This window comes from Homo sapiens, chromosome 2 (assembly GCF_000001405.40).
Source record: "Homo sapiens chromosome 2, GRCh38.p14 Primary Assembly".
In the NCBI taxonomy this organism is placed as follows: domain Eukaryota; kingdom Metazoa; phylum Chordata; class Mammalia; order Primates; family Hominidae; genus Homo; species Homo sapiens.
Window position 1 is genome coordinate 3,331,064 of NC_000002.12, and position 24,977 is coordinate 3,356,040.

At 47.0% G+C, this 24,977-nt stretch overlaps 1 protein-coding gene across 5 annotated transcripts in view, besides 1 other annotated feature; it reads right to left on the reverse strand.

Annotated features, from left to right (window-relative positions):
* The window catches only part of EIPR1 (EARP complex and GARP complex interacting protein 1), a 188,849-nt gene that overhangs the window by 142,094 nt on the left and 21,778 nt on the right, over positions 1-24,977 (reverse strand). For all 5 annotated transcript variants that reach the window (NM_001330531.3, NM_003310.5, NM_001330530.3 and 2 more), the window contains exons 2-3: positions 23,487-23,570; positions 6,954-7,086 (exon numbers count right to left, since the gene is read on the reverse strand). Coding sequence is in view for 4 of the 5 variants with exons in the window: in NM_003310.5 (NP_003301.1) it covers positions 6,954-7,086; positions 23,487-23,570 (217 nt within the window). In the remaining variant the exon portion in view is untranslated. The remainder of the gene's footprint in view (positions 1-6,953; positions 7,087-23,486; positions 23,571-24,977) is intronic.
* Positions 23,975-24,148: a silencer, noted in NCBI's record as "fragment chr2:3358809-3358982 (GRCh37/hg19 assembly coordinates)". NCBI's record gives its function as "represses an EF-1alpha promoter that drives an FKBP-Casp9 reporter gene in an ReSE screen in K562 erythroleukemia cells {active_cell/tissue: K562}" and the evidence as "EXISTENCE:reporter gene assay evidence [ECO:0000049][PMID:32094911]".

The window sequence follows — 24,977 nt, forward strand, 5'->3', positions numbered from 1 at the left end:
AAGATGGGCACACACTCATGAGATGGTGTGAGCAGAGGCAGGCACACACTCCTGAGGTGGTGTGAGCAGAAGCAGGCGTGTGCACACTCATGAGATGGTGTGAGCAGAGGCAGGTGTACACTCATATGGTGTGAGCAGAGGCAGGTGTGTATACACTCATGAGATGTGTCAGCAGAGGCAGGTGTGTACACACTCATGAGATGGTGTGAGCAGAGGCAGGTGTGTATACACTCATGAGATGGTTTCAGCAGAGGCAGGTGTGTATACACTCATGAGATGGTGTGAGCAGAGGCAGGTGTGTATACACTCATGAGATGGTGTGAGCAGAGGCAGGTGTGTATACACTCATGAGATGGTGTGAGCAGAGGCAGGTGTGTATACACTCATGAGATGGTGTCAGCAGAGGCAGGTGTGTATACACTCATGAGATGGTGTCAGCAGAGGCAGGTGTGTATACACTCATGAGATGGTGTCAGCAGAGGCAGGTGTGTATACACTCATGAGATGGTGTCAGCAGAGGCAGGTGTGTATACACTCATGAGATGGTGTGAGCAGAGGCAGGTGTGTATACACTCATGAGATGGTGTCAGCAGAGGCAGGTGTGTATACACTCATGAGATGGTGTCAGCAGAGGCAGGTGTGTATACACTCATGAGATGGTGTCAGCAGAGGCAGGTGTGTATACACTCATGAGATGGTGTGAGCAGAGGCAGGTGTGTATACACTCATGAGATGGTGTGAGCAGAGGCAGGTGTGTATACACTCATGAGATGGTGTGAGCAGAGGCAGGTGTGTATACACTCATGAGATGGTGTGAGCAGAGGCAGGTGTGTATACACTCATGAGATGGTGTCAGCAGAGGCAGGTGTGTATACACTCATGAGATGGTGTCAGCAGAGGCAGGTGTGTATACACTCATGAGATGGTGTCAGCAGAGGCAGGTGTGTATACACTCATGAGATGGTGTCAGCAGAGGCAGGTGTGTATACACTCATGAGATGGTGTCAGCAGAGGCAGGTGTGTATACACTCATGAGATGGTGTCAGCAGAGGCAGGCCCACGTGGTGTACCCTAATTCAGAAACATACATTAGAAATAAAAGCAGCAAAGTTGGGGTTTTTTAATGTTTATCTGAAACATACGCTTTTTTCTCAATGAACCTTAAGAAAACCGTGGGTGAAACAAGTTCTAAATATGGAAAGTGAGATGCACGGAAAGGTCAAGGCCTGCTGGCAGCACATTCTGAAGTGCACACAAATTGGGGAGGGAGGTGACTGGAAGTACCCGGCAGCTCCGAAGGGAGAAACCCCAAGAGAAATATGTCACTCATGCTAATTCCCTGCGTGACCAGGCTTCTTCCAGGTGGCAACACCACAGCCTCTCAGGGCTCCAGGTCCAATTGAGACCTGAAGGTTGTGCTGTTATTTGCTGTGTGTGGAGGCCTGCGTCCTCCTCGGAGGCCAGCCTGCCACCTGCCACCATCCCCACAGCCATGTCCAACCCACAATCTACGCCCACAGACCAGTTACTGTTGAGATCTCTCCTGTTCCAAGTATGTACAGTCCTGTCGAGACAGCTTCTACCCTGGGCACAGTCCCTCATTTTGCTTTCATGGAGATGCATTTTTCTTATCAAATTATCAGAAAGGAGAGTTCAAGTTCTTTTTTAAATCTTCATCATCTATATAGAAAACGTTCCATGAGTTTATTGTGCTACAACTCCCCCTTCCACCAACTCCAAGAATGTCTTTTTCACAATCATCACAGGTAATAACTGAAAACAGATCAACAGCAGTTATAAATCCCTATCAGTAATCGATGGCAATCTGTCACTTGTTCCTTGCATGAATAGAGATTTAAGCTAGGAGAGATGGATGTATGGGTTTAATCTGAAAATGTTTGACTTTTTAAGATACTTTAACCTCATGCAAATTTTCTATCATTTTCTAAGACAGTGTGAAGAGAACATCACTCTTCAAGGAGACTGCCTGTGGGCGCCAGATCCTTCAGCTGTGCACGGGGAGCTCAACACTGACATTCCTGACCACCCTTCTTAAGAATAGTAAGGGTACAGAGAAAGGGTTTCTCGCTTGCATTTTAAAAAATAAGTCACGAGCTCAGCCACTTCTGCATATTTGTGATGTTCATTCTAGCATGTGCTTGCGTGCACAAGAATTCTACCACACTGCAGACTTCCACTGATTTGCAGAGATTCAGTGTGGCACAATAAACAGATAAAATGTAAACGCTGTTGCTTCTGACAAATAACCAATAGCCACGTCCTAAAGAAGAGCCGGGCCCTCCAAATGAACTCTGTTTCTAGACACCCTCCTCAGAGGCCCCTTCTCCATGGCTGCGTCTCCTTTCCTCCCCATAAGATAAGATCCATGGAAGGCCAGGTGTGGTGGCTCACAGCTGTAATCCCAGTGCTTTGGGAGGGTGAAGCGGGTAGATCATTTGAGCTCAGGAGTTCAAGACCAGCCTGGCAACACAGTGAGACCTCATCTCTACTAGAAATTTTTTTAAAAATCAGCCAGATATGGTAGTGCATACCTGTGGTCCCAGCTAGTTGAGAGACTGAGATGGGAGGATTGCTTGAGCCTGGGAGGTGGAGGTTGCAGTGAGCCAAGATTGTGCCACTGCACTCCAGACTGGGTGACAAGAGCCAAGAGCAAGACCCTACCTCCAAAAAAAAAAAAAAAAAAAATCATGAAAAAGGATTTTAGGACATCTGTGAAGAAAGACACGGAAAGCAGCTTTAGAAGAGGGCAACTGTCTTTCGGAAGGAGGGTGCTCCTAACAACTCACGCCAGCTGGCCCTGTGATCGGCCTGCCCTCTCCACGTGCGGTTCTACTGTCCACACTGGCTGCCCCACGCAGGGTGTGCGCCGAAAGGTGTGTCTCAGAAGCCCTCAGCCTCTTCATTAAAAGATGCCACCGTTCACCAAAATATCACACAAACTAATGGAAACAAAAAGAAGGAAGGGGCTACAAAAGAGCAACAACAAAGAAAACACACGTGGGTCTCCAAGTACAGCAGACAACAGGAGCTTCTCTATAAGCACCCCTAACAAACGGCACACACACAGGAAACGCCGCAAGATGCCTCCCACCAGCCCAGGCACCGGCAGGGTAAAAGCACAATAGGAGAAAACACTACTGGAAGACAAAGAGGATAAATTGCAACTCTGATCTTTACAAAGAGATTTGTTATAACGAAGTGATGATTTAAGCAATGCCGTCTAATCTAAGTCTGTGGTGCTTCTGGATTTAATTCATATATGATTCATGGCAATGTGGAAGCCTAGTGATTTACAGGTGAGCTAAGGGCAAAAACTACAGAGCACAAGTATGTTTGCAAAACACATGAAGTCTCTAGAATGTTTTCCCTGCCCTGCGTTATGCACAGCAAGCTTAGGTCTGTGACTCCAGGCTTTTCCGGAGGCACCTGAAGCAGGAGGGCCTGGCGCCTTGCCCCACGGGTGCGACCACTGCTGCAGATGACCTGATTCAGATGAGACGTGGCGCCGTGTGTGCTTCGAAGGGCGAAGAGCCAGGTTAAGCACGAGTCAAGCAGCTGTGCTGCTCTTTCCTGATCAGAGCAGGAACTTGCAGCATTTCACACTGGAAAACAGCCTTCCCTGTGGGATGTAAATCTCAGTTCTGCTATGGCAGGAATAAAATAGAATTCTTGGAACTTAGACATGAATGTTGTGGAACAATTTCGTCTTTCTTCCTTGAGAGGCTGACAGATTAGGGAAATACTTAACAGAAGATCTATGCTGCCTTCAAAGTCTGGCAGAAAGAGTCAGTCTCTGGAAGCCACGACTGGAAATCACGAGATCCAGGGTAACTTGAAGGACACAATCAACTTACACCTGTGGACGACCAACAAGACCAAGAGTGCTTGGCAATTGTTTTAGTTTTCTGTTGCTTCTACAAATTGCCACAAACTTGGCAGCTTAACTCAAAGCCCACTTACAGCTGGGAGCAGCTGAGGGTGGTCCCAGCGGACAGCCAGGAAACAAGCCTGCATCCTACAACCCCAGGAGCCACATGAGGCGAGAGCCCTGACACAGCCTGGTGGGGGCCTGGAGACCCCAGGCCAGTGCGCTACGAAGCTACAGCCAGTACACACTGTTGAAGAGGCATGCGCTGTTGGAAGCCGCTGTTTGTGGGAATTCCTCTGCAGTGTATAATGACTATGGAAGCCGGGGCCGCAGTAACAACTGCCTGAAATGCGGGAGGAGCTCTGGATTTTGGCAGTGGGTAGAGGCTGGGAGGCTTTTGAGGAGCCACAGAAAAAGCAGAGCTTGCCTGGAATATCCAGGGTGCAGAAAGGCCATGCCCTGCAGGACCATGGAGGCAGCTCCTGTTGTGCTGAGGCTGGTCCTGCACGAGGGGGGTTTCCTGGTGGGGGGACAGGGCAAGGGTGGAGGAGAGGGCAAACGGGGAAGAGTTATACGATGGTGGAGTAACAACAAGCACAGCGTCTCCAGCCGGCAAAAGGTGCTGAGATGAAAAGCCTAACTGATGTGGTTTGGGTCTGTGTCCCCACCCAAATCTCATCTCGAATTGTAATCCCCACATGTCCAGGGAGGAACCTGGTGGGAGATGACTGGATCACAGGGTGGATTTCCCCCTTGCTGTTCTTGTGACAGTAAGATCTGGTTGTTTGAAGGTGTGTGGCTCTTCCCACTTTGCTCTCTCTCTCCTGCTGCCTTGTGAAGAAGGCCCTGGCTTCCGTCACCCCCCACTGTGATTGTGCGTTTCCTGAGGCCGCCCAGTCATGCTTCCTGTTAAGCCCGCAGAACTGTGAGTCCATTAAACCTCTTCATAAATTACCCAGTCCCAGGTAGTTCTTCACAGCAGTGCGAGAATGGACTAATACCCCGACTGTCAGGAGAGTGTGCCCCTAAGAAAAGGCCGAGGACGGGCCACACTGCATGTGGTTAAAGCCTCGGGAAGATCAGGAAGTCAGAGTGCAGGCCTAGGAAGGGCCTCTCAAGAAGCCAAGGAAGCACCTCACAGATCCTCAGGCAGAAGAGAGTGAAGGGTGAAGGGGAGGGTGAAGGGTCAAGGATGAAGGGGGCAGTCCCTTGGCCATCTTAGCAGGAGACCAAGGCAGAGAAGAGATCGTCTCTAAAAGATCTGCAGTTATGCTCTTGTCTGAGGAAGTGAAGCCTCAGGAAATCTACTGAAGACCCACAGATTCTTGAGAAATGTGTTTCTGCTGAGACACTGTCAGCTTGGACCAATCGGCACAGAGAGCAGACAAAACACAAGGAGGCTCTCGGACCCCCAACCTCCCGCTGGCAGGAGGTGCATAGCCACACTCAGCCACATGCCATGCTGCCCTCCATGTGGAAGGCAGGGCCCTCAGAGGAGGACATGGGGCAGCTGTGAAGTTAAAGTGGAAGAAGGGCCGGGCGCAGTGGCTCACGTCTGTAATCCTAGCACTTTGGGAGGCCAAGGCAGGCGGATCACCTGAGGTCAAAAGTTCGAGACCAGCCTGGCCAACATGGTGAAACCCCATCTCTGCTAAAAATATAAAAATTAGCAGGGCATGGTGATGTGCACCTGTAATCCCAGCTACTCGGGAGGCTGAGGCAGGAGAATTGCTTGAACCTGGGAGGCAGAGGTTGCAGTGAGCCCAGATTGCACCACTGCACTCCAGCCTGGGCGACAGAGTGAGACTCTGTCAAGAAAAGAAAAGGAAAAGAAAAGGAAAGGAAAAGAAAAGAAAAGGAAAAGAAAAGAAAAGGGAAGGGAAGGGAAAGGAAGGGAAAAGGGAAGGGAAGGGAAAAGGGAAGGGAAGGGAAAAGGGAAGGGAAGGGAAAAGGGAAGGGAAGGGAAAAGGGAAGGGAAGGGAAAAGGGAAGGGAAGGGAAGAGAAAAGGGAAAGGAAGGGAAAAGGGAAGGGAAAGGAAGAAGGAAGGGAAAGGGAAGGGAAAAGGGAAAAGGGAAGGGAAAAGAAAAGAGAAGGGAAAAGGGTAAAAAGAAGGGAAGGGGGAAGGGAAGAGAAAAGGGAAGGGAAAAGGGAAAGAGATGGGAAAAGGGAAAAGGGAAGGGAACAGGGAAGGGAAGGGAAAAGGGAAGGGAAACACACACAGAACCCGGTGAAAGTGGAATATTAGATCGGGATGTCCTGGTGACCAGCTTGATATATGAGCCATGCAATCCCTACACATCAATATTCTGAAGCCAGGGTATGAGAGAGAAGATCAGACAGAATGCATTAAAAGTACCTAAAAAGTCATTCAGCCTGTGGGACAAATGAAGGCAACATTTTAGAAACTATATATCAAAAACCACAAAGAATTTGTTCTGGCTTACATGGTAGAGAAAGAGATCCTAGGAGATATTTCTCCATAGAGCCAGAATTTAGAAAGTACTCATTGACGATGACCAAACAAGGAGAACTGGGGAAGAGGAAGGCTCAGTTCAGCAACTCAGACATCTGCATTGACACAAACTAAGGTCCCAGAGCTCCAAGAGCCTAGAGAGCACAACGGCGGGCAGGAAGAAGCCTATGAGGCATATCACCAGTCAACGCGCGTGTGTGCATGGAACTGCTCTTACCAAAGAGCACTGGAAGACAGTCACCAAGACACTACAGGAAAGAGATGAATCCCTGCTGCTCCCCACAACGTACAGTTTCCACATCAGGACACTTGTGTCTGCCTCACCGGAAACTCCAGCACTGTACTCCCCTGATCAAGGGGTCAACGTTCTCAGAACAGCTGATTCCAGCTTCAGTTCTTAGAATCTCAAGATTCTAATAATTTCTGCAAACATCTACTCACAATATCATGGCTTCTCTGTGCATGCAACACCTTCATTAATGGCTAAATCTTTTCAGTCATGTGTCGACCCATTAGCAATACAAAACCCGTCTTAGGAAATACCTCCAGTTACCTCCAGTTAGCAAGTACCTTAGAAAAGCCGCACTTACTTCTGTTGTAGCAGGTCGTCAGCACACCTCTGTCTGCAGGGCTAGCGCTAATATGCCAGATTTCACCCGCTTGATGGAGGAGGACATTTTTATTTATAATGTTGTTTTCATCGTCAAAATCTATGATATGGATCTACAAATACAAGAAAAGAGCACATCAGGATCTCAAACACTTTCCTCAGTACCTTCATCAGACATCATGATTACAAAGAATAGTCACATGCACATTTCGTGACAGATACATCTTTAGTTAATTGTTATTATGCCAACAGTATGTGCTTCTATAATTTAATTCTTACTGGACTCCTCTCCAAAGACAAGTTAGAAAATCCCTGTGGAGCATTTCTAAGATTGCAAGCTACGTAAGACTGCCATCCGGTCATATCCAGTCTTAAAGAAATAAGGCACCAAACGCTGTGTCCTCAAGTGGCTCTTAGACCGAGCCACTGTTGGTGTCACGGCCAGAGCTGCCCAGGGCTGTCCATATCAGCAAGGTCCTCCCAGCCTGCTGCACAGCTGCTGGGGAGGGCAGGCGCAGCAGGGCACGACTGCCTAATTAGGTCTGGGACTGACCACGCCTGGCCCACTCTGTCTATAGTGGGCAGAACTCGACTCATACTTCAGACATGATTAAGGTGGGAGAGAGTGAGAAAGGGCTGTATATTCACACACTGTTATCCTCTTTTCAAAAACAAGTCCAACAGCCGTTGGTGTCTATTATCTTATGATATTAAATAGGATAACATTTTAGCCACTCTATAAGAAAGTTAAATATACTATCTCCATGCTTTCCAGGATAACTTTTAGAGGAATTAAAATGATTTCACATTTAATTTCTTACCAATACCCAAGTCAATGAGAAAACATAATTCCTCTTTTAAAAGTAAATTTGTACTAAGAAAATATTCATGGGTCTACACAAAAGATTTATATCCAAGTACGTTTACTATGGCATTGATTATTGAAATAAAAAAAATTAGAAGTCACCTAAATGTTTAGTAATAGGAAACTGTTCAAATAAATTGCAGTATTTGATGGTAATATTGTGACGCCATTTGGTGTACTGTAGACTACTCAGTGGCATGGAACGATGTAATATATGTTTTAGAAGAGAATACACAAAAGAAACTGTACGAATGCTACATCCTTTTGTTTTGTTTTGTTTTAAAAATGTACGCGTGTCCAAATGAGAACCAGCAGGTAGGTACCTGAGTGGTGTCTGGATGGTGGAATTATAGGTGGTTTTCCTTTACTTCTTTGTGCTTTATTTGCACTTTTAACATTTTTTGCCTAACTAGGTCTGGGACTGACTGTGCCTGGCGCACTCTGCAATACGTTTGCAATCTAACATTAAATGCTATTTTTAAACTGTCTCCACGATACCCAGTAGCACCTACACATCACCCAGGCCTCAGATGGCCCTTTCATTATTTCCAACTGCTCCTCTCAGGGTCTGATAGGGCTTGGATCTGTGTCCCGTCCAAACCTCACGTCAAATTGTAATCCCAGTGTCGGACGTGAGGCCTGGCGGGAGGTGACTGGATCATGGGGGATGGGCCTTCAGGAATGGGTTAGCACCATCCCCACCTGGTGCCATCCTCACGACAGTGAATTCTCCTGAGACCTGGTCATTTAAAAGTGAGTGGCATGGGCTGGGCGCGGTGGCTCACGCCTGTAATTGTAGCACTTTGGGAGGCCGAGGCGGGCGGATCACCTGAGGTCAGGAATTTGAGACCAGCCTGACCACCACAGTGAAACCCCGTCTCTACTAAAAATACAAAAAATTAGCCGGGCGTGGTGGCGGGCACCTGTAGTCCCAGCTACTCGGGAGGCTGAGGCAGGAGAATGGCGTGAACCCGGGAGGCGGAGCCTGCAGTGAGCCGAGATGGCGCCACCGCACTCCAGCCTGGGCGACAGAGCGAGACTCCGTCTCAACAACAACAAAAAAACTTTGAGTGGCATCTTCCCTCTCCTAGCTCCTGCTTCGGCCATGTGAGGCGGCTGCTCCCCTTTCGCCTTCCGCCATGATTGGAAGTTTCCTGAGGCCTCTCCAGAAGCAGATGCTGCTATGTTTCCTGAACAGCTCCAGAAATGTGAGCCAATAAAACCTCTGTTCTTTATCAATGACCCAGTATCAGCTATTTCTTAATAGCAATATGAGAACGAACTAATACAAGGTCACCCCAGGGAGTCATTCTGGACTTGCTCAGAGTGGAATTCATACCCAGCCAGTGCCCAGAGCCATGTGAGCTGAACCACAATCTCCCAGGAGTAGAGCGGGCCGCCAGCACCGGGTCCTGGGGCCAAGGAGAAGCCAGATATGGCCGGCTTGCCCGAGGCAGAGCAGGAGCCCAGGGAGCATGCGCGCCCGCCCTCTCCATTCGGGGAACTGAAGTTTCCACAGCAGGTTCAGAAACATTCCCAGTGAACAGCTTCCAATTACAAATCACACATCTAAGAACCAGAGAAATGAACACAGCACTTGTTTTTATAAGTGAAAATTTATTGTACTCTTTTTCCTTTCCACACCCAAGGAAAGTTTACTTATGAACAGTTTTTTCCTCTGTGGACCTGTTACACATTTTATAATATATTATTAGTTATTAAATGATTACTTAGTGATATTGAGAAAAACATTTGGCAGAAACACATGTGTCCCATGACGCCACATCTCTACAATTAGGGATAGACCCTACAAACACCAAAGAAAAGGCAAGTGCAAGAATTTTCACGGCAGATATATTTATGATAGCCAAAGCAGCAAACAGCTCAGATGTCCATCAACAATAGAATGGGTAGGCCAGGCGCGGTGGCTGACATCTGTAATCCCAGCACTTTGGGAAGCCAAGATGGGTAGATCACCTGAGGTCAGGAGTTGAAGACCAGCCTGGACAATATGGTGAAACCCCATCTCTACTAAAAATATAAAAATTAGCCGGGCGTAGTGGCAGTCATCTATAATCTCAACTACTTGGGGGACTGAGGCAGGAGAATCACTTGAAGCCTGGAGGGGGAGGTGCAGTGAGCCGAGATCACGCCACTGCACTCCAGCCTGGGTGACAGAGTGAGATCCTGTCTCAAAAAAAAAAAAAAAAAAAAAAAAACAAAACAAAACTCCACAATAGAATGGGTAAATCAGTTGTGGTATATTCACAAATGCAATTCTCACAGTAATGACAAGTAACAACAACACACGCACAGACAATGCTGAGTGAGAAAAATCAGACACGAGAAGGAGCACCTTGTGCGATTACCTCAGGCAAAACCAACTGAGGTAACGACAGAGACCATTCACCGCAGGCCTGGAGTTGGCTCAGACTCCAGGAATCTGAGGGGTCTGCTGGGGTGTCCTTCATGGCAGTGACACGGGTGCACGTGGGTGTGGGCATGTGTGCATGCAGGTGTGCACCTGTGTGTGGGAGCATGGGTACACTATGCGTGTATGTGCGTGGGAGTGCGTGTGTGGGAGCATGGGTACGTGGTCTATGCATGTATGTGTGCGGGTGTGGGTGTGGGGGAGGTGCAGCTGTGTGTGGAGGGGGTGTGAGTGTGAGGCAGGTGCAGGTGTGTATGTAAGGGTGTGTGTGAGGGTCTGTGGGTACATGGCTATGGTGGGTGTACATGGGTGTGAATGTGCATGTATGTGTGGGTGTGAGGCAGGTGCAGGCGTGTGGGAGGTGTGTGGGAGGGTGTGGGTGCATCATGGGTATGGGTGTGTGGGGGGTACGTGGGCGTGGGGAACCAGTGAATGCATGTGTAAAGATGTCCCCAGTAGCACATTCTGGATGCGTGCACTTGGATGCATGTTAAGTTATAGTTATATCTTACAGGCAGAAACGCATTAGAATAAAAACTAGTAACAAATACATGAAGAAAATTTATTCTTTATTATAACCAATGACTCAAAAATTTAAAAATGAGAATTTCATCATACTAATTAATATTTATTATATTAGCCAACTTTTTCTAAGTGATGGCAACCAATACAGGGAATTCTATGATAGAATTGATCCGGATTATAACTTGTCCAATTCTTTTATGTTTGTTATAATATGTAAATAAGAACTACATAAATGTTGAAACTGAAACAATAATTTGATTTTGTGAAATCTGCCCCAAAGAATAAATGAACAAAAAAAGTGTATTATGAAATGTTACATAGCTTTAAAAGTTATGATTAAGAGCAATTATTAATACCAAAAATGTTACAAGAGAATTACATTTTAAAAGCAGGCTATAAAATGGCATGTGATTATATAATACCATCACACAGGAACACAGACCACAAGGTGATATAGCAAATTAGAAGTAATTTTTGTGTTGCTAGGGAATTTTTGTTCCTCAGTATTTTTCACATTTCCTACTTATCAGGAAATCCATTAGCACTGAAAACAGGGATGCGCTTAAATGTACTACTTTGCAAATCTGCTCCCCTGAAATGAACCAGGGCAGCAGGCGCAGCCGGGGGCTTTCTGGGCTCTTCAGGACAGTGCAGCGTGGCCCCCAAGCTGGCCCCTCGGCCTGGCTGCAGGTCTCAGCAGACCCTCTCTCCCAGTCTCCTGCCTCCACCTGGGCCCGCCTTTCTTCCCATAAAGCTGTTTTCCTTCTTGTGAAGACACAAGGCACAGCTTTCCAATGGGACTCAGCTCCTGGATGCACGCATCTCCTCTAGGTTCACCTCTTCCAGCCAGCGAGCACGCACAGGGCAGAGGGGGGATCCATGTTCCTCCCAAGCCCATGTCTCCTAATCTGGTACACTGCAATAGAAATGGTCTTTAACCTTCATTGCTAAGCCTGATGAGTCTTGAGATTTTCCCACATATCCTTATTTTATGGTTGATTCATAGAGTAGTGCAAGTACACATCTTCATGAACTGTTTTAACTCGGGGCTGTTCAAACAGGATGCCATCAACCACCATGAGCAAAATAAAGTAATGGCTGAAATTTATATTGCACCAGGCACTATGTGAAGTATTTTATACACTTGAGTGCCTTAATCCTTAAAACAGCCCTATAATATATTACTATTAATCACAATCTACAGGTGAAAAGATCGAGGCTTGAAGAGTGGAGGGCCTGGGCTCCTCCAGTTAGACACGGCACAGCCAGGCCTACAGGAGCCCCTGGTCCTGGCATGCGAGCTCTGCCGCCCCGCCACCTGCCCTGTGGATGCACTCTGCAGGGCGGCAGCAAGCCAGAGTGAGAGGCAGCTCCCAGCTGGAGGGAAGAACCAGTACCTCAACTCTCTGTTCTCAGGGCACCACCCTACACCCAGCTCACCTGAAAGTATAAACAACTGTTTTGTTGAATAAACATACGCAGGTACAGGCCGGCTCCGAAAACAAGCAATGCGAGAAAGAAACACCGTAACTAAGGTGAGTGCAAAAGATTACCAGGGCCCAAAAGAAAGACCCATTAACACCAGCTAGGCAGGTCTGCAAAGGCGGTCGCCCTGTGAGCAGTACTTAAATGTTACTTTAAACTTTTCAAGCCACATTGGATTTTTTAATGTGTTAATCGTTTATGATAAAGATCAAACTCATGTATTTTGAATCATCATTAAAATTTTTAAAGTTGATTTTACCAGTGCTGGGCTAAGGCTATAGGTGACACTGTAAAGATTTAGAATAAAGAGTTATAAAAATGTATTAGGAAGTCCATGAAGATGAACTTAATCACCTCTCCCTCCTTTTCTGCAAGAATCGGGGCTTGGAGAGAAATGCTGTGTGGCCACAGCCCAGGGCCAGGCTGCCGAGTACAGAGCTGTGGGGCCGGGCCACCGAGTACAGAGCTGCAGGGCCAGGCTGCTGAGTACAGAGCTGAGGCCATCGCACTGTCCATTTCATCTGCGCTTCTAAACTGAAAGTTTAAAAACTCTTGAGAATTGAAAAAACAAAAAAAGGGCCAGGCACGGTGGCTCACACTTGTGATCCCAGCACTTTGCAGCGCTGAGGCAGGAGGAGGATGGCTTGAGCCCAGGAGGTCAAGACAAGCCTGGGCAACATGGCAAGATCCCATCTCTACAGAAAAAAATAAAAACAAAAAATACCACATATAAATAAGACTGGATATTAAAAAATCAAGAGGCACCCGCCTAGGGAAAGTGAATGATCCAATGGCTTCCCCAGAGGCAGGAGATTCCCTCGGCCGCTGATGGCAAACCCCCCAGCTCTCACCCTGACGGCCACCAGGCAGATGACAGGAGACACCGTCCCTGCCACGTCATCCATGACTAAAACCCACCTGCCCAATGGCAATTCCTTAAGAGTTATGCAGAATACTGAATACTGCCTGTGACCAGATCCTGGACAGAACAAGCCATGGGCCCATATCGCTGCTTTTCTTTACCCCTGGTTACAGCATGTGACTCTGAAAACACAGTTTCTACTCTAGTCGGCTTCACGCTTCAGCTCAGTGCTGACATGAACGTGACCTGCCAATCAAGAGACCTGGTTTCTCATTTGGATTCTGCCATTCCTGGCTGTGTGACCCTGGGCAAGTCACTAACCCTTTCTGGGCTCTTTGTATATCTGGGCCCCTCTCAGCATTTGTACATTTAGGAAACTACATCTCTAAGATCCCTTTGTTCTAATAGAAACATATACTGGTTCTGGTTCTTTTTTTTTTTTTTTTTTTTTTTTTTGAGACAGAGTCTTACTCTGTCTCCCAGGCTGGAGTCCAGTGGTGCGATCTCGGCTCACTGCAACCTCCACCTCCCCAGTTCAAATGATTCTCCTGCCTCAGCCTCCTGAGTAGTTGCAACTACAGGCAGGCACCACCACGCCCAGCTAATTTTTGTATTTTTAGTAGAGACAGGGTTTCATCATATTGGCCAGGCCAGGCCCATAAGCACTGGAAAATCTAACATACTTAATAACTCTTTTTCCAGTGCTTATGAGCCCCATACAATAACCAGCATTTCCCTAAACATATTAATACTTCTCTCTTAGGCAATTAAAGCATAGGGTATTAATAGCCCTTGCCCATGAAGCCCAAACAGTACACTCGGCAGTGGGAGAGAAAAAAGACTCCACATTCCAGAAGCTCCCTGTGCCCCAGAAGCACGTTGCTCAGAACTGTGCAGAAAGTGACACAGCCTGTGCAGTGCGTGGTCAAGGGCTGCGGGGGAGGCTGGAACCTAACTGGGTCACTGGAATGCCACCAGCTGCTTCTGGTAGCAGAGAACGGGGCTGAAGTACCGGCTCTTCCTTCCAGTGGGGAGCTGCCTCTCACTCTAAAAATCAGAAAGATACAAGTAGAACTCTATAAAAAAAAAATTATTGGGGCATAATCAATATATTGAGACCAGGCCAGGTGCAGTGGCTCACACCTATAACCCCAGCACTTTGGGACTGTGGATCACCTGAGATGGTGAGGTGGGTGGATCACCTGAGGTCAGGAGTTCAAGACTAGCCTGGCCAACACGGTGAAACCCCGTCTCTACTAAAAATATAAAAATTAGCCGGGCATGGTGGTGCACGCCTGTGATCCCCGCTATTCAGGAGGCCGAGGCAGGAGAATCACTTGAAACTGGGAGGCAGAGGTTTTAGTAAGCTGAGGTCACACCACGGCACTCCAGCCTAGGCAATAGAGCGAGACTCTGTCTGGAAAAAAAAAAAGAAAAAGTAAGAAAAATATGTATATATATAGTGAGACCAAAATTCTCAGAAAGCAAAGTGGGGTACAATTCACAGAAGAAAATAAAAAAGAAAGTGCACAGTGGGAGGTGGCACCGTGGCACTACACTTCTGTTTCTCTTTACACGGATGCACATGTAGGAAGGGAATGCGGCCCCGGGGCACCACGCTTATCTTTCCCTAGATCTAGCTTGGTGCACACAGAAGAGGGAAATAGGGCACCATGTTAATCTTTCTCTTGGTTTATACTGGTGCACACATATGACTTGCTCTTGGTACAGAAGTCCAGTGAAAACCACCACCACCACCACCACCGTGCCAGAGAAATGCGTTAAGGAAACCCTTATGAAACAGATGACTGGGGAAACCCTATGATCCAGAGTCCACACCACTTCTCCCAGCATGTTTTGTTCATCCGAAGTAGTGACAGACACCCTGCCCACCCCCTACACCCCACAAACCGAGCATAGGCCCATGCGGGAGGGCCACCACTCGGGAGCTGGCCCAAGGGCGGCAGCAGGGCCCATGGGAGATTCTGGGCATTGACTCCTTGTGACTCTGGTGGGATAGACGAAACTGGCTGTGGGTTTTGACCCAATGCTCGTTGATATGGACACCAGGGAATCTGATGGAATTTGCAGCAAAATCCCGGAAGTGGATGGCCAGGCATGGGGTTTCTGGATAGCGTGACTTCTCTAGACAGAAAGCCAATGTTTGTCTGAAAATGTAATAGATGCCCAATAGAACATCACAAGGTTTACTTGTGAAAAGTGAGTATATTTGCTGCAGTAGAACTAATTCTTACAAAAGTTTGTGACTTTCCTTAAAATACATCCATCCAACAACCTGCTCAGCACCAGGCATCGAAAGGACACAGCAGTGAATGGTCCTTGGCCTCACAATATGTGTCAGGGATCGCAAGGTGTCAAGGAATTTGGAGAAAAATAAATACACAATAGAAGTAACAGGAATCCTATAACATGAAGACTTATTTTAGAGGCATGCATACACAAAGACAGACAAGACTAGAGAAAAGGCATCAATTAGTTCCAGCTCAGGAATTGAAAAGGGGGCAGAAAAGGAAAGACTTCACAGAAAAGACGATAGAAGCTGTTTGTAGGAGAGATCAGGACTCAAAAACCTTGGACAAAAATCATAAATTTCTCCTCAAACCCAAAGAGCCCTTCCAGCTGAACACTTGCAGGAATGTCACCTGACATAGTTTGGAAATTTGTCCCTTTCGAAATCTCATGTTGAATTGTAATCCCCAGTGCTGGAGGCAGGGCCTGGTTAGGAGGTGTTTAGATCCTGGGGACAGATGCCTCATGGCTGGGTGCTGTCTTCATGATAGCGAGTTCTTCTGATATCTGGCCATTGAAGCATGTGGCACTCCCCCTCACTCTTTGCTCCCGCCCTCGCCATGTGATGTGCCTGCTCCCACTTCGCCTTCCACCGTGACTGGAAGCTTCCTGAGGCCGTCGCAGAAGCAGATGCCAGAGCCATGCTTCCTGTATGGCCTGCAGAACCATGAAACCTCTTTTCTTCATGAATTACCCAGTCTCGGGTATTTCTACATAGCAATGCAAGAATGGCCTAATACACCAACAGACCTGAGGGTGTGATATGGTTTGACTATGTCCCCACCCAAATCTCATCTTGAATTCCCATGTGTTGTGGGACGAACCTGGTGGGAGACAATCGAATCATGGGGGCAGTTCTTTCCCATGCTGTTCTCCTAATAGTGAATAAGTCTCATGAGATCTGATGGTTTTATAAGGTGGAGTTTCCCTGCACAAGCTCTCTTTGCCTGCCGCCATCCACGTAAGATGTGACTTGCTCCTCCTTGCCTTCCACCATGATTGTGAGGCCTCCCCAGCCATGTGGAACTGTGAGTCCATTAAACCTCTTTTTCTTTCCCGTCTCGGGTATGTCTTTATCAGCAGCATGAAAACAGACTGATACAGGGTCAAACTGATTCTTCAAGAGTGAGGGAAAAGGGGAATATCAGAGAGCACTTTGTATGTTAGATCTGAACTTGAAAGCTGGAAAAAAACAATTAAAGAATTTCCAAGTATGGCAGACCATCTAGGGATGTACCCTAAAAATACAGGACCCCTGAAGATGAAGTTCACACTGAAGACAGTAAGAAACAGAAATGCGAGTCAGGGACGCTTAGTGACAGGCTGGAGCCTCTGGATCAGGCCTCATCGAAAGGAAGCCAGGCTACCCTGTGATGCTTCAGTGGGCAACTAGGTCCTTTTACCATTAAAGGAAGAGAGAAGGGTGAGGGAGGAAAGAGCAGGAGCAGCGGGGAAGAAATCAAGGCTCAGTTAGCCTAGAGTGGGGCTGGGAATCTGAATGTTGACCAAGCACCCTGGTGATTCTGAGCACAGGTGAGAACAGGACTTGCAGGCGGGGGGGCTGCAGGAACAAAGTTGTCACCAATCAGAGGCGCTGCAGGAACAAAGCTATCACGAATCAAAACAGATGCAGAACCAGATGCAGAACCGCGCAGCTTAGCTGAGAAACTAAGACGTTAGCCAGGGGAGGAAACGAGCTGCTCTGTCGCTGCCCTTCTGTGACATCAGTCTTTTCACTGACGAGGACCCTGGTCACCGGGGCAATGCTTCCATGTTAGAAGAGGCAAAGCCGGTCCTCTCTGTCACCATGGCACTCCCAGAGGTCTCCAGAGGAAGATTAAGACTCATCTCTTATCTACATGAGAAAGAGGGGGGCACCAATATACAGGGAAAGTCTGTGGGAAATGCAGAAGCACTTACAGGCCTCAGGTCGCGGTTCCTCATCCCTGCCCATGCTAAGCCATGATCACACCCCCCAGGAAGAACTCCAGCTCCTCCTCAAAGGAGAACCCCAGAAAGCGAGCAAGGACCCCAGAAATCCTTGTCCCGCCTAAGCACAGGGAGCTATGACAGAGTCCTGTCCCACAGGAGGAAACAGACACAAATCAGTTCATCCCTCAGAGGAAAGTCAGCAACTGTGACAGTCCCCACATTTTCAGAAAGATAGCGCAGCTGCATTATGCAGTAACGATGCAGGTACCGGGCATTTTCCAGGGAATCAACGACTGAAAGGAGCGAGGACCTGAGGCAACACCAGGAGCTATTAACCCTTCCCAGCCACCACTCCCCAGGAGAGCTGGAGCTCCAGAGTGAGGGATGGCGGCTTCCGACTGTGCAGGAGGAGACCAGACTCCGTTGTCACAGAAGGCAGGGGCAGGGCTGCAGTCCACAGCCAGTGGAGCCTTCCCGGCGTCTCTCCTGGTCTGTGCACATGCGCACAGGCGGGCTGCTCGCAGCCGGAACCATGGGGCCCAGGCTGTTCAGGATGGAGCTGTCCTGATTTTCAGGACATCTCACCCCAGAGACACGGCATGGCAACAGCACGGGTGCACCCTTTCCACGTGTGTCTGTACAAAAGTGTACACTTCAGGTGCAAGAGCATACCCATGGCACATGCCTCAGAGCTGAACTGCAAATTCAAAGGAGAGGGAAGCGAGCAGAGAGAGGCAGACATGCAGGTTTCAGTCCCGATTCTGCCACGCACCAGCTCCACACTGCGTGGGGCCACCTGCCTCACCAGAAAACCTGTTCTGCTGACTGAGGCAGCATGTGGGAACCAGCCCTAACCGGCCCTGCTCCAGTACCAGCTGCCTCCTCCAGCCACTCACCCACCTCCCCGACTCCACAAGCCTCAGCCAACTGTGAGCCCTGGGAAGAGTGTGAGCGCAGGGACTGCTTTACTGATCACGGTGCCAGCACCGCCCACACAGCCAGCTCCAGGGAGGCTCCAAACAGACCCAGGGCAAACAGCAGCCAAAGAACTGCACAATACCACCACAAGACGGGGATAAGGAGGACGCTGGGAGACCAGGACAGGGAGGATGCTGCCAGACAGGGACAGGGACAGGGAGCATGCCAGGAGACGGGGACAGGGAGGACGCCGGGAGACAGGGACAGGGAGCATGCTGGGAGACAGGGACAGGGAGCATGCTGGGAGATGGGGACAGGGAGGACGCTGTGAGATGGGGACAGGGAGCATGCTGGGAGATGGGGACAGGGAGGATGCTGCAAGACAGGGCCAGAAAGCACACTGCAAGATGGGGACACAGAGAATACTGTGAGATGGTGTATTAGTCTGTTCTCACACTGCTATAAAGAACTACCTGAGGCCAGGTACGGTGGCTCACGCCTGTAATCCCAGCACTTTGGGAGGCCAAGGCGGGCAGATCACCTGAAGTCAGGAGTTTGAGACCAGCCTGGTAAACATGGCAAAACCCTGTCTCTACTAAAAATATAAAAATTAGCTGGGCGTGGTGGCCTGTGCCTGTAATCGCTTGGGAGTCTGAGGCAGGAGAATCGCTTGAACCTGGGAGGCAGAGGTTGCAGTGAGCCGAGATCACGCCACTGCACTCCAGCCTGGGTGAGAGAGTAAGACTCTGTCTCAAAAAAAAAAAAAAAAAAAAAAAAAAACTACCTGATACTGGGTAGTTTATAAAGAAAAGAGGTTTAATTGACTCACAGTGCCACAGGCTATACAGGGGACATGGCTGGAGAGGCCTAAGGCAACTTACTATCACAGCAGAAGGGTGAATGGGAAGCAGGCACATCTTCACATGGCAATAGGAGAGAGCATGAAGGGGGATGTGCCACACCCTTTCAAACAATCAGACCTGTGATAACTCACTCACTGTCACGAGAACATCAAGGGGGGAATCCACGCCCATGATCCAATCACCTCCAACCAGGCCCCTCCCTCAAAACTGGGGATTACAATTTAACATGAGATTTGGGTATGGACACAGGGCCAAAATATACCAGATGGTAATACTAATAGTACTATGAATAACTGCTTGTCCATTTCACCATTTCACTAAACACTGAACTCAGGACACGAATATCTGTTCAGGTTTTGTGTACCCAGCACATAAAAAAGAGGAATTAAAGAGTTCTGTTATTCTATGAAGTAAGCATTTGTTGAGTGGATGAATGAATGAACAGCTCAACAATGTCACATGCCTTTACCAGAAACAGAAAGACAAAACCAGCAAGTCAAAAACACAGCTTCATACCTACCATACGGATTCACACACAGACAACTGCAGGCAAGTGTGGAAATACATGAGGTATGTAATAAAACATACTGTTGACTCAAAAAAATAAGATCCTGGCAAACTAATCTGAGTAATTATCAGAACTCTTCAATTTAGAAGAAAGGAGACAGAAAAACTGGAAAGCTTCTTTAAAATAATTAATTGAATGTTACTTCGTTCCAAAAAAAAAAAAAAAAACAAATTAAGGTAGATTAAAACACTTTCTGTCATTTTGGGCGATTTTTTTTTTTTTAGACAGAGTCTCGCTCTGTCACCCAGCCTGGAGTGCAGTGGTGCGATCTCGGCTCACTGCAACCTCCATCTTCCCAGTTGTCAAGTGATTCTCATGCCTCAGCCTTCCAAGTAGCTGGGATTACAGGTGCGTGCCACCACACCCAGCTAATTTTTGTATTTTTAGTAGAGACAGGGTTTCACCATGTTGGCCAGGCTGGTCTTGAACTCTTCATCTCAAGTGATCCACCCGCCTTGGCCTCCTGAAGTGCTGGGATTACATGCGTGAGCGACCACACCTGGCCTCTTCTTATTTCTTCTATTTTGATAACTTTGGTACCAATGGTTCTTCATTAATGTCATTACCAAATGGAAATGCCATTACTACATTCTGGCTAAGAGCAGGTACACAGTAATTTACTCATAACTATCATGCTTTCCATGGCCCCATTTTGTGTTGAATTCCTGGGTTTCTGCTGACTTCTGCTTTCTGAAGCTGCATTTGGAAGGCAGACTGGCGTGCCTCCCATCCTATCTCTGTGCCACTATCTCCCATGTGGGTTTTACTCCCCAACTCCCCTGTAGGCACCATCCCTGAAACCACAGGCCATCTTCATGGTGGGTCCTCCTTCCTTTTCAGGTGGCCACTGGTAACTATTTTTATAAATAAGTAATTCCCTTCTTATATTTTTTCCAGTAGAAAAGTAACACACATACATACATACACATTCGGAAAACAAAACATTAGAAAGAAAAGAATTTTACATCCTGAATAGATGTTGCCCCCACCTCATCCCAATTTGAGGTTTTGCTTTCTCAGGTTTCAGTTACCTGTGGTCAAGTGTAACACAAAAATATTAAATGAAAAATTCCAGAAATAAGCAATTCATAAGTCTAAATCACATACCATTCTGAGTAGTGTGGTGAAGTCTGGAGCCATCCCACTCCATCCCACCCGAAACGTGAGTCATCCCTTTGATCAGCATATCCATGCTACAGAAGCTACCTGCCCCTGAGCCACCCACACTGTCTGTTCCGGACACCTTTGATCAGCATATCCATGCTACAGAAGCGACCTGCCCCTGAGCCACCCACACTGTCTGTTCCGGACACCTTTGATCAGCATATCCATGCTACAGAAGCGACCTGCCCCTGAGCCACCCACACTGTCTGTTCCGGACACCTTTGATCAGCATATCCATGCTACAGAAGCGACCTGCCCCTGAGCCATCCATACTGTCTGTTCCCGACACCTTTGATCAGCATATCCATGCTACAGAAGCGACCTGCCCCTGAGCCACCCACACTGTCTGTTCCGGACACCTTTGATCAGCATATCCATGCTACAGAAGCTACCTGCCCCTGAGCCATCCACACTGTCTGTTCCCGACACCTTTGATCAGCATATCCATGCTACAGAAGCTACCTGCCCCTGAGCCAACCACACTGTCTGTTCCCGACACCTTTGATCAGCATATCCATGCTACAGAAGCTACCTGCCCCTGAGCCACCCACACTGTCTGTTCCTGACATCCAACCATCAACACCTTATGGCTTGATGATCCAGATCACCCAAAACAGATACTCCTGCTGTTGACATATCCTCTGAAGGTCAGTAATAGCCTAACGCTACATCACAATGCCTATGTCATTCCCCTCACTTCATCTCATCACACAGGCCTTATATTATTGCACATCTTCTCAAGAAAAAGGATGAGTGGCTGGGCGCAGTGGCTCACGCCTGTAATCCCAACACTTTGGGAGGCTGAGGCCAGCAGATAACCTGAGGTCAGGAGTTTGAGACCAGCCTGGCCAACGTGGTGAAACCCCGTCTCTACTAAAAATACAAAAATTAGCTGGGCGTGGTGGTGCATGCCTGTAATCCCAGCCACTCAGGAGGCTGAGGCAGGAGAATCACTTCAACCTGGGAGGCGGAGGTTGCAGTGAGCTGAGATCGTGCCATTGCACTCTAGCCTGGGCAACAGAGTGAAACTCTGTCTCAAAAAAACAAAAACCAGAAGAAGGGTGAGTATAGTACAGTAAGGTGTTCTGACAGACAGAGACCATATTCATATAACTTTCATAACTAATAATCATTGTGTTTTTATTAGTTATGTTGTTAAGCTTTTGTTGTGCCTAACTTATACCTTAAACTTTACCTATATGTAAGTATAGGAAAAAGCATGATATGTTTAGGGTTCAGTACTCACCAAGGTTTCCTGGCATCCGCTGGGTGGTCTTGGAACACATCCCCTGTGAAAAGCATCTGAAGATAACCCTTGGCTCAATTTTTAGTCCTTTTTGGCCTATTTCCTTCCAGTCTTTATTCTAAGAAGAGATTCAATTGTGCACTTTGCTTTTTTACACCACGTTGATCATACTGTAAGCACAATTTTAACATCCCACCAAATCATCTAACGATTCTTAAGTTGTCATGTTTCTTAGGAGTCTATAACTTTTAATGAGTGTAATAAGGGAATACTATTCACTGTGAGTAACCAGATTCAACCTGAGGGAAGTGTATGAATCTGCCATTACAAGTGGCAATTTCATATTGTTCAACCTAACATTCACGCATTTTGATATTCTGATTGCTTGTAAGTTTTTATAACTATAAGTATCATTATAATTAATATTCTTCGTGTATAATGATTTTTCCTAGGTTTGGGATACAGGAATTACAGATTAAGTATATAAACATTTATTTATGAAGCTCTAAGGATGTATCACTGAACTAGTTGCCAATGACTATGCTGACTTTAAATCTTTATCGACATACGAGAGTGACAGTTTCACTACATCCTATCCAGGCCTGCGTATTCTTCGACAGCTATTTGAATGCCATTTCCCCTGTGTGATCAGATAAGCCGGACAGAAGCCCTAGACCATGTCTGACATGGCCTCCCGCACATTTTCCCAGTGTCAAAGACAATGCACATCTTTGCAATCACCACGGCATCTCATTTTAATCTCCACTTTAGCAATAAGAAAATGGAGTCCAGCAAGGGGAATCCGTGTGCTCAAGGTCACGTGGTTACTGCCAGGCCATGAACCGAATCCGATCTCCTAAGTGTCCGCTACAGTGACCAGAACACCAAAGGGTCCCATCTGTATCCCCACCTGGATCAAGGGGCAGTGACAGATCAAGTGGCCTGGGTCAAGTAGGGATGAGGTTGTGACACACCCCACACTCACCTAGAAAGAGTTCTATGAGCAATTAAAGAAGGAATCCACAGGCCAAGAAGAAGGGGTAGTGGTGACCACATATCCTTGCTTCTCAATTGCTCATAAAGCCAAATCTATATAACCACAAGAGCCAAACAAGACTACGGAAGTCATGCCAAACAGAGGAAGTTTAAATTACTGAACACAGTCGATACATATAGATGGATAATATTCTTTGATTTGAAGATAGACTTAAATCCAAATGAAAGTTTTATTTTGTTTATGTGGCATTAATTTCTCAAATGTTGCTGGAAAATCAGAGCAAAATGGTTATAAAACTAAGAATAGGCTTAGTAATTATCATGTATACATTTGTCAAAAATAGTTACCTGATTATCATATTTAAGAGACTGCGTCCCAACCAAAAACCGAATGGCATCTGTTTCTGCAGTTTGAGGTGTTAAGGCACGTGCCTGCAGGAGGGAAGAAAAACACATGCACATTTATGAAGTTAGATTTAATAGAGATTATGAAGTTAGATTTAAAAAGGCAGTTTATCTCATCTACTGTTGATAAAGTATAAATTAGTACAGAGTGTCTGGAAAGCAATTTAGAAATATGTATTAAATGCCTTTGACTTTTGCACACTTTCAACACAATTCCACTTCAAATTTGCATATGGAAATCATTGTAAATGGGTACAAAATTAAGTAATAAAGATGTAAATTATCTACACATCAATGTTTAAATTAATTTTTAGTAAAACTATTATTTCAACAGTAAAAGACTGGTTAAACAAATTATACTTCAACAATACAGCAGAAAATAGCTTCCAGCAATAGCAGAGTAGGGGGTTTAAACCAACTCTTCTGCAGATAACAACTAGAAAAACTAAAAGAATAACCTGAATCTGTTTCACAGCCTCAGATAACTACCAAGGCAACAAAGAAATGCCAAGATCCAGGACAGGAGGAAGCCTAGGGGGGAAGCCCAGCACCTGGTCACGCTTCACCTAAAGGCACCTGCCAGTCTGGAAAGCCTGGCTGATAGGCTGATGCTGACGAGAGCTTTGACAGACTCGTGGAGCTCAGGGCACAAAAACCCAAGCACAGGGCCCACCTGGGAGAAGAGCCTGTAAAGCACTAACCCCACAGGTGTACAGCCCAGGAGTGAAGGCAAATGAGAATCAGACCAACCTGCACAGGCTAAAGCTCCAAGTCATCTCAATCCTGATTGGAGCAGGCCAGTGCTCTTAGGCTAGCCAGCCTCCTGCCAGAAGTCAGTCCTCTGGAGGAAGATAACATCCCAAGTCTAAAATCTGACACTGAAAAATGTTCAACATTTAATCAAAAATAGCCAGTCATAAGGCCAAGCATGGTGGCTCACACCTCTAATCTCAGCACTTTGGGAGCCTGAGGCAGTAAGATCACTTGAGGCCAGGAGTTCTGGCCAACCAATCTGGGCAATATAGCAAGACTCTATCTCTGCAAAATAAATTGTAAAAATCATCTGGGAATGGTGGCTCGTGCCTGTTGACTTAGCTGCTCAAGAGGCTGGGGCAGGAGGATCACTCGAGCCCAGGAGTTTGAGGTTACATAAGCCATGATCAAACCACTGCACTCTAGCCTGGGTGACCGAACAAGACCCTGTCTAAATAAAATAAAATAAAATAAAATAAAATGAATAAATAATTAAAATAGCCAGTCATACAATAAAACAAAACCACATGATCAAAAACCAAAAGAAACAACAACCAACAGAAAAACGGCTACCGAGGATTCAAACAGGGTCCCTGGGAAGCAAGCTCTAAAGTTCTAACGGTATCTAAAGGAGACTTACTAGCGAGTGCTCTTGGGAACTATTCCATGTTGGGGTGAAGG